Source organism: Homo sapiens, chromosome 2 (genome assembly GCF_000001405.40).
Source record: "Homo sapiens chromosome 2, GRCh38.p14 Primary Assembly".
NCBI classification, from domain to species: domain Eukaryota; kingdom Metazoa; phylum Chordata; class Mammalia; order Primates; family Hominidae; genus Homo; species Homo sapiens.
In genome coordinates this window covers 47,746,139-47,761,655 of record NC_000002.12, presented here as the reverse complement: position 1 = coordinate 47,761,655, position 15,517 = coordinate 47,746,139, and the positions used below count along the sequence as shown (strand labels likewise).

Genomic DNA, 15,517 nt, shown 5'->3' with positions numbered 1-15,517 from the left:
TCTTTCTTTTATTTTTATTTATTTTTTTTGAGATAGAGTCTCGCTCTTGTTGCCCAGGCTGGAGTACAATGGTACAGTCTCGACTCACTGGAACCTCTGCCTCCTGGGTTCAAGCGATTCTCTTGCCTCAGCCTCTCAAGTAGCTGGGATTACAGGCGCTCAGTACCACGCCTGTCTAATTTTTGTATTTTTAGTAGAGATGGGGTTTCACTGTGTTGGCCAGACTGGTCTCAAACTCCTAACCTCAAGTCATCTGCCTCCCTCGGCCTCCCCAAAGTGCTGGGATTACAGGTGTGAGCCACCATGTCCAGCCCCAAATTCTTTCCTGAGTGAGATCCAAGAACCCTCTCTTGGGGTCTGAATTGTGACCCCTTTCCAGTAACAAATATAAGCTAGTGTTTATTTAAGAAATTTCTGGTCTGGGCGTGATGGCTCATGCCTGTAATCCTAGCACTTTGGGAGGTCGAGGCAGGTGGATCATCTCAGGTCGGAGTTCCAGACCAGCCTGGCCAACACAGCGAAACCCTGTCTCTACTAAAAATACAAAAAAAAAATTGACTGGGCATTGTGACAGGCACGTGTAATCCCAGCTACTCGGGAGGCTGAGACAGGAGAATCGCTTGAACCCAGGAGGTAGAGGTTGCAGTGAGCCGAGATTGCACCACTGCGCTCCAGCCTGGGCAACAGAGCGAGACTCCATCTCAAAAAAAAAAAAAACTTTTACACTACTGAACAATTGTTTTCTGTTTTCCACTATTATAAATATTGCCAGACTGGGCGCGGTGGCTCACGCCTGTAATCCCAGCACTTTGGGAGGCCGAGGCAGGTGGATCACCTGAGGTCAGGAGTTTGAGGCCAGCCTGACCAACATGGAGAAACCCCGTCTCTACTAAAAATACAAAATTAGTAGGGTGTGGTGGCACATGCCTGTAATCCCAGCTACTCGGGAGGCTGACGCAGGAGAATCGCTTGAACCCGAGAGGCGGAGGTTGCTGTGAGCTGAGATCGCGCCATTGCACTCCAGCCTGGGCAACAAGAGCAAAATTCTGTCTCAAAAATAAATAAATAAGTAAATAAAATATTGCCATTGAACGTCTTTGACCATAAAGCTCACTTTCCCCTTCCTCCAGTCATTGGTATATGATCAAGTCTGCCAGCAAACGGTTTGCTTTTTGAGAGCAGTAAGTAATTTATTTTGGTATCCTTTTTACTGCAGTCAGGGCTTGGCACATGGCAGGTATCCAAAACTGGTTGATTGACTGAGTGATGGCAACGAGACTCTCCTGCAGTTTTCCATCCTTCTAGTTCCTCTGTGACCTCTGCCTCCATTTGGCTGTGTGGAAGATCAGCACATAGCACCACAAAATATGCCTCTTTCACAGAAGGATTGTTGAGCTGAAGGCAAGAAAGTAGCAGATGCAGGAGAACTCTCTGCCCTCCTTGTGTTTACTGAAAAGCAGGATGTACATAGACAGAGACAAAACGTATCCCGCACCCACCTTTCTATCAGGGAGGACAAAGGTTAACTAACCACTGAAGACAACTTAACACCCTTAAGGGCCTAGAGATGGCTCCAGAAGAATCTAATTAACAAGCTTTCCTAACTTATCTTTATCTGCCATTTATTTGCCTTCCCCTAAGTTGTAACCCCTGGAGACTCAAAGTCTTTTCCCCTTATCTTGTTGTCTCTCTAAAAATAAATTTACCAATCCTTTTTTTTTTTTTTTTTGAGACAGAGTCTCTCTCTGTCGCCCAGGCTGGAGGGCAGTGGCACAATCTTGGCTCACTGCAACCTCTGCCTCCCAGGTTCAAGCTATTCTCCTGCCTCAGTCTCCCAAGTAGCTGGGATTACAGGCACCCACAACCAAGCACGGCTAATTTGTTTTTTTTTTTTTTTTTGAGATGGAGTCTTGCTCTTGTTGCCCAGCCTGGAGTGCAGTGGCACAGTCTCAGCTCACTGCAACTCTGCCTTACAGGTTCAAGTGATTCTCCTTGCTTCAGCCTCCCAAGTAGCTGGGACTACAGGTGCCACTACAATGCTCAGCTAGTTGTTGTATTTTTAGTAGAGACAGCGTTTCACCATGTTGGCCAGGCTGGTCTCGAACTCCTATCCTCAAGTGATCCGCCCACCTTGGCCTCTCAAAGTGCTGGGATTACAGGGGTGAGCCAGCATGCCTGGCCCAAAATTTACCATTCTTTGTTGAAGATGTTATATAAGCTGGAATTGAAAGCCACCTCTTTGAGAACTGCTCATTCTCTGAGTGTTTCCCATGTATATATGAAATATACATGCTAATAAACTTCTGTTCGTTTTTCTCTTGTTAATCTGTCTTTCATTACAGGGGTCCATTCCAACCAAGAACCTATGGGAGTTGAGGAAAAAAATAATTTTCCTCCCCTACAGCTGCCACAAGCCATACTCTCCTATTGCTACAAGACTTTTATTGTTGTCGTTTTGAGATGGGGTCTCCTTCTGTCACCCAGGCAGGAGTCCAGTTCACCATGTTGGCTAGGCTGGTCTCAAACTCCTGACCTCAGGTGATCTGCCTGCCTTGGCCTCCAAAAGTGCTGGGATTATAGGTTTGAGCCACCATGCCGAGAGGTGGCTTTCAATTCCAGCTTATATAACATCTTCAACAAAGAACGATAAATTTTTAGAGAAGCAACAAGACAAGGGGAAAAGACTTTCAGTCTCTAGAGCAGTTCTCCCACCTGAGCCTTGTGAGTAGCTGGGACTACAGGTGTGCACCACCACACTCAGCTAATTTTGCTTTCTTTCTTTCTTTTTTTTTCACTTTTTGTAGAGACAGGGTCCCACTATGTTGCCCAGGCTGGTCTTGAACTCTTGGGCTCAAGCAATCCTCCCTCCTCAGCCTCCCAAAGTGCACACCACCATGCTCAGCTAATTTTCTTACTTTCTTTTTTTTTAAACTTTTTATAGAGACAGGGTCTCACTATGTTGCCCAGGCTGGTCTTGAACTCTTGGGCTCAAGCAATCCTCCCTCCTCAGCCTCCCAAAGTGCTGGGATTACAGACGCGAGCCATGGTACCTGGCTTGCTATGAGACTTTGGTTTGACTCATGTAACCTTCCCAGGTTATTTTATCCTTGTTTAGAGATTGTTGGACCAGAACCATGGCGCTTGGCCCTGGGTGGACACGGAAGTCACCTAGAGAGCTTTAGCAAAAGTAGCCTCCGGCCCCCTCCAGAGACTCTGATGTATTAATAACTGGTCTTAGGTTGAGGCTCGGGCAAGGTGTTTTTTAAAAACCTCAGTAAGTGATTATAATGAGCAACCGAATTGAGAGCCCCTAATTAAATGGTCTTTGAGTTTCTTCCCAGTTCTTCTGATCTGTGAGCTTTGATTGGGTCAGGGTAATAAAGCAGGGATTCTGTCATATTGCTCTGAGAAAACAGAATACATTAATAATTATTTCCAAGAGCATACTGTTCAATTCTGGGTTCTCAAGGAAAAAGTTTTATAACGAGTCTTTTTTGGCTGGGCGCAGTGGCTCACACCTGTAATGCCAGCACTTTGGGAGGCCTTGGTGGGCGGATTGCTTGAGGTCAGGAATTTGAGACCAGCCTGGCCAACATGGTGAAACCCCATCTCTACTAAAATACAAAAATTAGCTGGGCATGGTGGTGTACGCCTGTAATTCCAACTGCTTGGGATGCTGAGGCATTAGAATCACTTGAACCCAGGAGGCAGAGGGTTACAATGAGCCGAGATTGCGCCACTGCACTCTAGCCTGGGTGACTCTGTCTTACCAAAAAAAAGGCTTTTTCCACCTTTTGGAAATATCTTGGCTCCCTTCACCCTTTCCAATTAGTGGCCCGACCAGGACTGCAAGTCAGCTTACCCTTTGATTATTTCCATTTCACAGATGGAGAAGGTGAGATTAGGAAAAGTCCTAAAGATAGTCAAGAATCCAACTGCTGGCAGATTCCATGGGTAGGAGGAGTTTCTGGAAGGTAGGAAAGTAGAAAACCTGCAAGTTTAAAAGCGCTTCAGAAGGCCAGGTGCAGTGGCTCACACCTGTAATCCCACCACTTTGTGGGGTGAAGGTAGGAGGATTACTTGAGCCCAGGAGTTTAAGAACAGCCTGGGAAACATAGGAGATCCTGTCTCTATTAAAAAATGTGTATTAGGCCAGGTGCGGTGGCTCACGCCTATAATCCCAGCACTTTGGGAGGCCAAGGCAGGCAGATCACGAGATCAGGAGATCGAGACAAGCCTGGCCAATATGGTGAAACTCCATCTCTACTAAAAATACAAAAACTAGCTGGGTGTGGTGGTGGGCGCCTGTAGTTCCAGCTACTTGGGAGGCTGAGGCAGGAGAATAGCTTGAATCTGGGAGGCGGAGGTTGCAGTGAGCCGAGATCGTTCCCCTGCACTCCAGCCTGGGTGACAGAGCGAGACTCCATCTCAAAAAAAAAAAAAAGTATATTAAAATTAGCCAGGCTGGGTGTGGTAGGTCATTCCTGTAATCCCAGCACTTTGGAAGGCCAAAGCAGGTGGATCACTTGAGGTCAGGAGTTCGAGACCAGCCTGGTCAACATGGTGAAACCCTGTCTCTACTAAAAATACAAAAATTAGCCGAGTGTGGTGGCATGTGCCTGTAATCCCAGCTACTCAGGAGGCTGAGGCAGGAGAATCGCTTGAACTCGGGAGGCAGAGGTTGCAGTGAGCTGAGATTGTGCCACTGCGCTCCAGCCTAGATGACAGAGTGAGACTCTGTCTCAAAAAAAAAAAAAAAAAAAAAAAAAGAATAAAATAAGTAGCCAGGCAGGCTGGGCATGATGGCTCACGCCTGTAATCCCAGCACTTTAGGAGGCCGAGGTGGGTGGATCACCTGAAGTCAGCAGTTTAAGACCAGCTTGGCCAACATGGTGAAACCCCGTCTGTATTAAAAACACAAAAAAAATCAGCCGGGCATGGTGGTACGCACCTGTAATCCCAGCTACTTGGGAGGCTGAGGCAGAAGAATCACTTGAACCAGGGAGACAGAGGTTACAGAGAGCTGCGATCGCACCACTGCACTCCAGCCTGGGTGACAGAGCAAGACTCCGTCTCTGGAAAAAAAAAAAAAAAAATATATATATATATATATATATATATATATATATATATATATATATATAAAGTAATTAGCCAAGCATGGTGGAGCATGCCTGTAGTAGTCCTACCTAATCGGGAGGCTGAGGTGGGAGGATCATCTGGGCTTGGGGAAGTCGAGGCTGTAGTGAGCCATGATCACACCACTACACCCCAGCCTGGGCAACAGAGTGAGACACTGTGTCCAAAAAAAAAAAAAAAATGAATAGACAAAAAATAAAAGTTAAAAAAAAATCTGAAAGCTCTTCAGGTTGGAAGCAGGTAAAGCAAAGTGAAGATCCTTGGAGCAATCTACCTTGCTACCTACTCCTGCCGCAGAACATCAGCCTCCCTGCCTATAATCCCACCACAATACTGCAGCTCTTTGATTCTCACAAGTTTTTCTGATATCTTTAATTGCAAACCCTCCCACTGTGGTTTTCCAGAGCTCTAGTCAGTTAGCAGTTAAGACAGCAGCAGGGATTAGGAGTGAGCCAGGGGAGAGCAAAAATGGGGGCTGCAGCTGTTTCCAAGGCAGCAGGAGGGGAGCCAGCCGGGAGGAGGCCGTGCCTGTCAGCCAGGCATTCAGCTGGGGGCCACCTCTAGAGATAGAGACAGTCAAGTTACACAGCAAATGAGTTTTTCTAACAGCTCATTCATCCTCTAATTTAGTAGTGAAATATTACCTGGATGTACTTGAATCACCTTCAGGGGCTTGTAAAACACCCCTAAAGAGATTAAAATGATTTCCCCTGACAATTCCATGACTTAACAATAGCTCAGTAAGGAATGAAAACCAAAACACTGCCATAGAGAAGAAAATAATTATTTCCTTCTGCTCGTAGGCAGATATGGGGCATTATAGAGGCATAGCAACAAGGAATACTGTCTCCAGGAGAATGGAAAATTACCATGGGCTCCAGTCTGAGGCTTCTTCCTGATCCACCAAGTTCCTGAGAAAATAAGATGGGAAGAAGGAGACAGCGCTCCCTGCTGTGGGTTCCCAGCTTGCTCTCATCTCCAACTCACTATGAAATGCAAATTTACTTTCTGCTTCAAGGAACCGTAAGTTCCTTCTGAAATGACCATGGGCACAGAAGAATAAAATGCAACACAACGTCTGGACTATCAATACTCTTATTTTACATTTAAAACATTAGCCTGGCCAGGAATGGTGGCGCATGTCTGTAATCCCAGCACATTAGGAGGCCAAGCTGGGAGGATCACTTGAGGCCAGGAGTTCGAGACCAGCCTGAGCAGCACAGTGAGAACCGCCCCCCCACCCCCCCCACCTCTGCAAAAGAAAAGAAAAATTAAAATTAAAAAATCAGGTTGGGCTTGGTGGTTCATGCCTGTAATCCCAGCACTATGGGAATCCCAGGCAGAAGGATTTCTTGAGCCCAGGAGTTTGAGACCAGACTGGGCAACATAGGGAGACCTGGTCTCTACAAAAAAATGAAAACATTAGCCATGCATGGTAGTACACACCTGTAGTCCTAGCTATTTGGGAGGCTGAAATGGGAAGATTGCTTGAGCCTGGGAGGTTGAGGCTGCAGTGAACTGTGATGGCACCACTACACTCCAACCTGGGCAACCGAGGGAAACCGTGTCTCAAAAAAAAAAAAAAAAAAAAATTAGCTGGGCATGGTCACCCACACCTGTAGTCTTAGCTACTCAGGAGGCTGAACCAGGAGGATTGTTTGAGCCCAGAAGTTGGAGGCTGCAGTGAGCTATGATCATGCCACTGCACTCTAGTCTGGGCGATAGTGCACGACCCTATAAATAAACAAAACATTAGCCCAAAATTCAAACTTTTAGCTACAATGGACCAAATAGCTTCACATGTACACAAAGCTCAGATGTATTTTTATACTCTACGCTGTTATCTTCCAAAAGAGTAAGACGCTTCCTGTTGCTTTTTTAAAAATTTATTTTATTTTATATATTTTTTGAGATGAGGTCTTGCCATGTTGCCTAGGCTGGTCTCAAACTCCTGGGCTCAGGCAATCCTTCTGCCTCAGCCTCCCAGAGTGCTGGGATTACAGATATGAGCCACTGGGTCCAGCCTTTGTGTTTAATAAAGGAAAGGAAATGGGTTAAATGATAAATACTTCCCCTACAGAAATAAAACACTACTTGCTCATTGCGAAGTTTATTTTTATGTCTTCTAAATAGTGGCAGACACTTGCTGAAACCAAACCTGTAGACGTCTCAACAGCTTTATTTTTTGTCCATTCTATTTTGGGCTCCATTATTGAAGCAATCATTATTGGCAGACATTGCTCTACTAATAATTCTTGGAGCAGTTTCATTTTTTTTTTCTCCTTAGTGCAATACAACTAAACATATTACTCTCTCAGGATAATCTGGAGTGTGGGAGTGGGAGGGGGGCAGAAAATATCATATTCCTAATTGGAGTTTGTGTTGATCCAAAATATATAAGTCTAGTTCATGAGTACTCCTCACCCACATTTTAAGCACAAACAGGTTTCTACAAAGGTTTGAGATCTGAGAGACACAGAAAGCTTCCCAATAGCCCTGCTGTGGTTCCTGTAATTCCAGTGGGATCCTCCCCTTTGCATTAAACATTGTATCTCAAAACTTGCAGAACTGCATACTATGAATTTATTAAGAATTTGGGCTTCTGTTATGTGATTTTGAGGAGTGATCAAAGAAACAGGCTTTGCTCTGGATTAGATACTGTCAGAAAGTGGGTGTAATTCTATTAAGAATCTTTTTGGCAGGGCTCAATGGCTCATGCCTGTAATCCCAGCACTTTGGGAGGCTGAGGCAGGTAGATCACTTGAGCTCAGGAGTTCAAGACCGGCCTGGGCAACATGACGAAACCCTATCTCTACTTAAAAAAAAAAAAAAAAAAAAATATTAGCTGGGTGTGATGGCACACGCCTGTGTTCCCAGCTGCTTGGGAGGCTGAGGTGGGAGGATCCCTTGAGCCTGGGAGGCAGAGGTTGCAGTGAGCCTAGATTGTGCTACTGCACTCCAGCCTGGGTGACAGAGTGAGATCAGGCTATAATGCAGTGGTGCAATCACAGCTCACTACAGCCTTGAACTCCTGGGCTCAAGCAATTCTCCTCCCTTCTTCTCCCAAGTAGCTGAGACTACAGGGTTTTGTTTGTTTGTTTGTTTGAGACAAGTCTCGCTCTGTCACCCAGGCTGGAGTGCAGTGGCGTGATCTTATGTTTTTTGTTTTTATAGAGACAGGGTCTCACTATGTTACCCAGGCTGGTCTTGAACTCCTGGTCTCTAGCAATCCTCCCACCCCAGTCTTCCCAGTAGCTGGGATTACAGGTGTAAACCATTACCTGGCTCTATTGAGAATTAATATTTATTTATTTTTTAATAATTTTTTTTTATTTTTAAGAGACAGAGTCTTACTCTGTCACTCAGGCTGTCACAGCTCACTGCAGCCTCTACCTGCCAGGCTCAAGTGATCCTCCCACCACGGCCTCCCAAGTAGCTGAGACTACAGGCATGAGTCACTGTGCTCAGCTGGAATCTTTTTCTTTTTTCTTTTTTTTTTTTTTTTTTTTTTTGAGTTGGAGTTTCACTTTTGTTGCCCAGGCTGGAGTGCAATGGCGCAATCTCGGCTCACTGCAAACTCCGCCTCCCGGGTTCAACCGATTCTCCTGCCTCAGGCTCCCGAGTAGCTGGGATTACAGGCATGAGCCACCACACCCGGCTAATTTTGTATTTTTAGTAGAGATGGGATTTCTCCATGTTGGTCAGGCTGGTCTGGAACTCCCAGCCTCAGGTGATCCACCCACCTCGGCCTCCCAAAGTGCTGGGATTACAGGCGTGAGTCACCGTGCCCGGCTCAGCTGGAATCTTAATATTTCTTATCTAGAAGAACAAACTGAGGCTAAAGCTGTAATTGAAAAAGAAGCACCACTCACTCCTATGAGACAGAAACAGGGACTTTTGTTCATTTTTGTGGTTTGGGCAATGTTCTTGTTTGGTCTGTGTTGTGAAATGATGACGGAATGAACAGTTTTGTTCTTTGTCACTCTCAAAGGGGCCTTGTCTTCTGTTGATGTTCCCTGAGCATCAGTGTTCAACAGCAGAACACTACAGCCTGGCTCTGGGTGCCAGGCTGGCTCCTGTCTCTTTTCTTTCTCATTGTTAGCGCTGTTAATAGTGAAACATTGCTAATTTCCAGGTTCATTTTTTACCTTAGAGAACCAAAGAGATGGGCCCTGAAACTGGTAGCATCAGCAGGGCCCAAGGAGGAAGCACATGCACTTAATCTGCAGGAAAGTCCATTAGACTATGTGTGTTACAGCAGGGAGCTGGTCGGGCCTAAGCAGAGCCCACACACCAAAAATATCAGGTGACCATCGTGATGGTCAGGCAGTTGTCAACCTGTCTCTCTAAAATAATAATTGGTCACAGCCAGCGCCAGGGAAGCACAGTCTCCTAATAGATAGAAAACACCGAAACAGGTGATCGGCAGCTTCCTGATAAGATCTCAGGAGTTGGGCAAGTGGCCTCAGGCATGTACATGCAGACGGCCCACCCCAACGAGAAACAGGGAGAATTAACGAGACCCTGGAAGTGTGCCAATGTATAAAACCCCTAGCCATAAGGTCAAACTGCACACTGATCTCTCAAGTCACCCGCTTGGGCCTCTTCTAAGTGGACTTGACTTCCTTTCATTCCTCCTCTAAAGCTTTTTAAACAAACTTTCACTCCTGCTCTAAAACTTGCCTTCACTCCTGCTCATAAACCTGCCTTACGCCCCTCACTCAAATTCTTTCTTCTGAGGAGGCAGGAATTGAGGTTGCTGCTGACCCACCAGTAACACATTCGCCACATGTGGGCCAAAAAAAACTTCCCCGTCCCCTTCTGACAAGTCAACTCACAAAAGGTAGATTAACAGATATGTCAACCTAAAAAGAGGAACCTGAGGCAAAATTATTATTTTTGTTTGTTTATTTTGAGGCGGAGTTCACTGTTTGTTTATTTTGAGGCAAATTCTCACTCTGTCACCCAGGCTGGAGTGCAATGGCAAGATCTTGGCTCACTGTAACCTCCACCTCCCAGGATCAAGTGATTCTCCTGCCTCAGCTTCCAGAGTAGCTGGGATTACAGGCAGCTGCCACCACGCCCAGCTAATTTTTGTATTTTTAGTAGAGATGGGGTTTCACCATGTTGGCCAGGCTGGTCTCAAACTCCTGATCTCAGGTGATGCCCCACATCGTGGCCTCCCAAAGTGCTGGGATTACAGGCATGAGCCACCCTGCCAGGCTCCAAGGCAAAATTAATATAAATAGAGAGTTTAATTGAGCCAAGCTTAAGGATTGAAACCTGGGAACATATATTCAAGTTGCCTTGAATATACACTCTGATTAGCAACAGTTACAAGTATGTTTCTAAAGGAAAAGAAGAGGCAGGTCCTAAATTCTTTACCAAGAATTTACATTAAAATAACATAAGCTATTGTTTGGCTATCCATTGTTCTTTGTCCAGGAACATGAAGATAATGGATAGGGCAGCTAGTCAGGAACAAAATGACTTTAAACAGTTGTCTCAGACCAGGTTCTGTGGCTCATGCCTGTAATTTCAGCATTTTGGGAGGCCAAGGTGGGCAGATCATCTGAGGTCAGGAGTTCAAAACCAGCCTGGCCAACATGGCAAAACCCTGTCTCTGCTAAAGATACGAAAATTAGCTGGATGTGGTGACGTGCACCTGTAGTCCCAGCTCCTTGGGAGGTTGAAGCACGAGAATCACTTGAACCCAGGAGGCAGAGGTTGCAGTGAGCCGAGATCGTGCCACTGCACTGCAGCCTGGGTGACAGAGCAAGACTCTGCCTCAAAAGCAAGTTTTAGTATTATATGTTGCCTGATAAGGTACAACAAGAATAGTAATGGCCATACAGGCTCTTTTAAGTTGGCTTTGCTGGAACTAACTTACCTTACCTTACCTTACCTTACCTTTTTTTACCTTACGATAGGGTCTCACCGTGTTGCCAAGGCTGGAGTGCAGTGGCATGATCTCAGCTCACTCTAGCCTCAACCTCCCGAGCTCAGGCGATCCTATCACCTCAACCTTCTGAGTAGCTGAGATTACAGGCATGCACCAACATGCCCAGCTAATTTTTGTATTTTTTGTAGAGACAGGGTTTTACCATGTTTCCCAGGCTGATCTTGAACTTCTGAGCTCAAGCATTCCTCCTGCCTTGACCTCCCAAAATGCTGCAATTACAAGCATGAGCCATTGCACCCAGCCTGCTAGAACTTTCATAAGGAATTTCAAATTAGACTTTTAAAAGCTTCAAGACTTTGAAGCCAAGCCAAGGATTCACCATTAGACTGAACCTGTAATATATGTACAAATTGGGTGATTTCCTCTTTTCTCCAGGTGTCCATAATATCCTGAGGTTCCTGAGCCTCTCAGAAAGTGACATTCTTGGCCAGGTGTGGTGGCTCATGCCTGTAATCCCAAGATTTTGGGAGGCCAATGTGCGTGGATTGCTTCAGCCTAGGAGTTCAAGACCAGCCTGAGCAACATAGTGAGACCTCTTCTCTACAAAAAAAAATTTTTTTTTTAATTAGTTGGGCATGGTGGTGCATGCCTGTAGTCCCAGGTACTTGGGAGGTTAAGATGGGAGGATCGCTTGAGCCTAGGAGTTCAAAGCTGCAGTGAGCTATGATGGAGTGCCACTGCACTCCAGCCTGGGTGATAGAATGAGATCCTGTTTCAAAAAAATAATAATCAGAAAAAGAAAGTGACATTCTTTATTTACTTCAAGGCAACCATGTGAACTGTAAATTTAAAGTATGGGGCCAGTTTTTCCAAGGGTGTTTATTGGCTTCCTAATGTCAATCCTAGTTCCTTAAAGCTGTCTGGTCATATCTGAAAATGTGATATTTCAGTCAAACCCTTAATAAAACAACCAGTGTCTCCAACTGTGCTTTGTTACAAGAAGAACAGATTCTTTTTTTTTTTTACAAGAAGAATAGATTCTTATTAAACTTATGCTAATAACTAGATTGCCATAAAATAAGAATACTCATGAATAATTTTTAAACTTTGGAGAAATCAGGTAGAGAGAGACAGGTAAATGTTTCCATTTTGCTAATAAATGTATCTTTTACTCTATGTCTATAAGCTATAAATTACTCAAAAGACAAAAGTTTTATTGATTCTGCAGAACAAAATATAAAAGCAATCAGCAGTGTTTCAAATAAAAAGTCATAAAAGCCATTTTATCCCTTTATCAGATCAGTTCCATATAATTGATTCCTGTTCTGCTTGATGTTGGGTTAGCAATATTCATGAATGATGCATCAGTTTATTAGAATTCTGAAAGTTTTAACTTAATCCAATGATATGATCTCCAAAGTTATCAGAAACTTGTGTTCATGGCTGGGCATGGTGGCTCACGCCTGTAATCCCAGCACTTTGGGAGGCAGAGGCGGGTGGATCACTTGAGGTCAGGAGTTAAAGACCAGCCTGGCCAACATGGTGAAACTTCATCTCTACTAAAAATACAAAAAAAAAAAAAAATTAGCTGGGAGTGGTGGTGTGCACCTGTAATCCCAACAGTCCCCCAAAGTCTTAACTTATTCCAGCATTAGGTCAAAAGACCAAAGTCTAAAATCTCATCTGAGACAAGACAAGTCCCTTCTGCCTATGAGCCTATAAAATCAAAAACAAGTTAGTTACTTCCAAGATACCATGAGGGTACAGGCATTGGATAAATGCTCCCATTCCAAAAGGGAGAAATGGGTCAAAAGAAAGGGGCTACAGGCCTCATGCAAGTTTGAAATCCAGCAGGGTGGTCATTAAATCTTAAAGCTCCAAAATAATCTCTGTTGACTCCATGTCGCACATTCAGGGCATACTGTTGCAAGGGGTGGTATTCCAAAGCCTTGGGCAGTCCTGCTTCTGTGGCTTTCCAGGGCTGCTCTCAAGGGCTGATGTTGAGTGCCTGCAGCTTTTCCAAGTGCAGGGTGCAAGCTGTCAGTGGATCTACCATTCTGGGGTCTGGAGGATATTGGTCCTCTTCTCACAGCTCTACAGGGAAGTGCCCAATGGGGGCTCTGTGAGGGAGCTCTAACCCCCATATTTCCCCACCGCACTGCCCCAGAAGTGGTTCTCCATGAGGGCTCCACCCCTGTGGCAGGCTTCTGAGTGGACATCCAGTCTTTTCCATACATCCTCTGAAATCTAGGCAGAGGCTCCCAAGCCTCAGCTCTTGCACTCTGCACACCTGGATGCTTAACACTCTGTGGAAACCACCAAGGCTTCTGGCTTGCACTCTCTGAAGTAGTAACCCACGCTGTACCTGGGACCTTTTGAGCCAAGGCTGGAACTGGAGTGGTTGGGATGCAGGGAGCTGTGTCCTGAGGCTGTGCAGAGTGATGGGGCCCTGGGCCTGGCCCAGGAAACCATTCTTCCCTTCTAAGTCTCCAGACCTCTGATGAAAAGGGCTGTGGTGAATGTCTGTGAAATGTCTTCAAGGCCCTTTCCCCATTGTCTTCACTATTAGCATTTACCTTCTTTTTAGTTACGCAAAATTTATGCAGCTGGCTTTAATTGCTCCCCGAAGGTGGGCTTTTCTTTCCTTTTCTTTTCTTTTCTTTTTTTTTGAGTTGGAGTCTCTCACTGTCACCCAGGCTGGAGTGCAATGGCACGACCTTGGCTCACTGCAATCTTCACCTCCTCGGTTCAAATGATTCTCCTGCCTCAGCCTCTTGAGGAGCTGGGATTATAGGCATGTGCCACCACACCCAGCTAATTTTTGTATTTTTAGTAGAGACGGGGTTTCATCATGTTGGCCAGGCTGGTCTCGAACTCCTGACCTCATGATCTCCCTGCCTTGGCCTCCCAAAGTGCTGGGATTACAGGCGTGAGCCACCACACCTGGCCAGTGGGCTTTTCTTTTCTACCACATGGCCAGGCTCCAAATTTTTCAAGCTTTTATGCTTTGCTTCCCTTTTACTTTTTATTTATTTAGTTTTGAGACAGGGTCTCTGTCACTCAGGCTAGAGTGCAGTGGCACAATCATTGCCTTGCACAGCCTTGACCTCCTGGGCTCAGCCTTCTGAGTGGCAGAGACTATAGGCGTGTGCCACCACACCTGGCTACTTATTTATTTATTTATTTTATAGAGACAGGGTTTGTCCATGTTGCCCAGGCTAGTCTTGAACTCCTGGGCTCAAGTGATCTGTCTGCCTTGGCCTCCCAAAATTCTAGGATTACACGCATGAGCCACTGTGCCCATCCTGCTTCCCTTTTCAATATAAGTTTCAGGTTTACATCATTTCTTTACTCATGCATATGGGAATCAGTGGTTAGAAGCAGCCAGGCTACCTCTTGAACACTTTGCTGCTTATAAATTTTTTTCACCAGATACCCTAAGTCATCATTCTCAAGTTCAAAGTTCCATAGATCCCTAGGGCAGGGGCACAATGCCTCCAAGTTCTTTGCTAAGGCATAACAAAAGTGACCTTTGCTCCAGTTACCAAAAAGTTCCTCATTTCCATCTGAGACCTCCTAAGCCTGGACTTCATTGTCCATATCACTATAAGCATTTTGGTCACAACAATTTAACAAGTCTCTAGGAAGTTCCAAATTTTCCCTCATCTTCCTGTCTTCTTCTGAGCCCTCAAAACTGTTCCAACCCCTGTTTGTTACCCAGTTCCAAAGCTGCTTCTGCATTTTCAGGTGTCTTTATAGCAATGACCTACTCCTCAGTACCAATTAGTCCATTATGGGCTATAAAGAAATACCTGAGACTAGGTAATTTATAAAGAAAAGAGGTTTAATTGGCTCATGGTTCTGCAGGCTGTGCAGGAAGCATAGCAACTTCTGCTTCTTCAGAGGCCTCAGGAAACTTACAATCATGGTGGAAGGTGAAGGGGAAGCAGGCACATCTTGCATGGCTGGAGTAGGAAGGGTGGGGGTTGCTACAAACTTTTAACAACCAGATCTGATGATAACTCACTCACTATCACAGGAATAGTTCCAACGGGATGGTGCTAACCCATTCATGAGAACTCCGCCCCCATGATCAAATCACCTCCCACCAGGCTCCATCTCCAATACTGGGGATTACAATTTAACATGAGATTTGTTGGGGACACTGATCCAAAGTATATTAACATATCAATAACATAGTTATACAAATATTTCTTACTTGACAGTGTTTCCTGTACACTTTTAACATACCAGATAAGCCTAACATGGCTCTCTTGGACTTACAGGTGTTCCTTTTGGAAAAGTCTTCTTTTTTTTTTTTTTTTTTTTTTTTTTTGAGATGGAGTTTTGCTCTGTCACCCAGGCTGGAATGCAGTGGCACAATCTCCGCTCACTGCAACCTCCGTCTCCTGGGTTCACATGATTTTCCTGCGTCAGCCTGCAGAGGAGCTGCAATTACAGGCTACCACACCTGGC

At 45.2% G+C, this 15,517-nt stretch overlaps 1 long non-coding RNA gene across 4 annotated transcripts, besides 2 other annotated features; it reads right to left on the bottom strand.

The window, feature by feature from the left end:
- Window positions 1-1,164: 1,164 nt before the first annotated feature.
- LOC105374589 (uncharacterized) lies at window positions 1,165-6,177 on the bottom strand. 4 transcript variants are annotated; one of them, XR_940070.3, is made up of 3 exons: window positions 6,009-6,177; window positions 3,863-3,967; window positions 1,165-1,449 (listed from the first exon to the last, which is right to left on the bottom strand). It is a non-coding gene; the product is annotated as an uncharacterized LOC105374589 (long non-coding RNA). The 4 variants fall into 4 exon arrangements; XR_940067.3 differs by lacking the exon at window positions 6,009-6,177 and adding an exon at window positions 4,952-4,993; XR_940068.3 differs by lacking the exon at window positions 6,009-6,177 and adding an exon at window positions 4,952-4,993 and having other exon boundaries at window positions 1,165-1,395.
- Window positions 9,344-9,443: an enhancer, noted in NCBI's record as "active region_15740". NCBI's record gives its function as "activates an Ori minimal core promoter by ATAC-STARR-seq in GM12878 lymphoblastoid cells {active_cell/tissue: GM12878}" and the evidence as "EXISTENCE:reporter gene assay evidence [ECO:0000049][PMID:35858748]".
- Window positions 13,357-13,510: a silencer, noted in NCBI's record as "fragment chr2:47975285-47975438 (GRCh37/hg19 assembly coordinates)". NCBI's record gives its function as "represses an EF-1alpha promoter that drives an FKBP-Casp9 reporter gene in an ReSE screen in HepG2 liver carcinoma cells {active_cell/tissue: HepG2}" and the evidence as "EXISTENCE:reporter gene assay evidence [ECO:0000049][PMID:32094911]".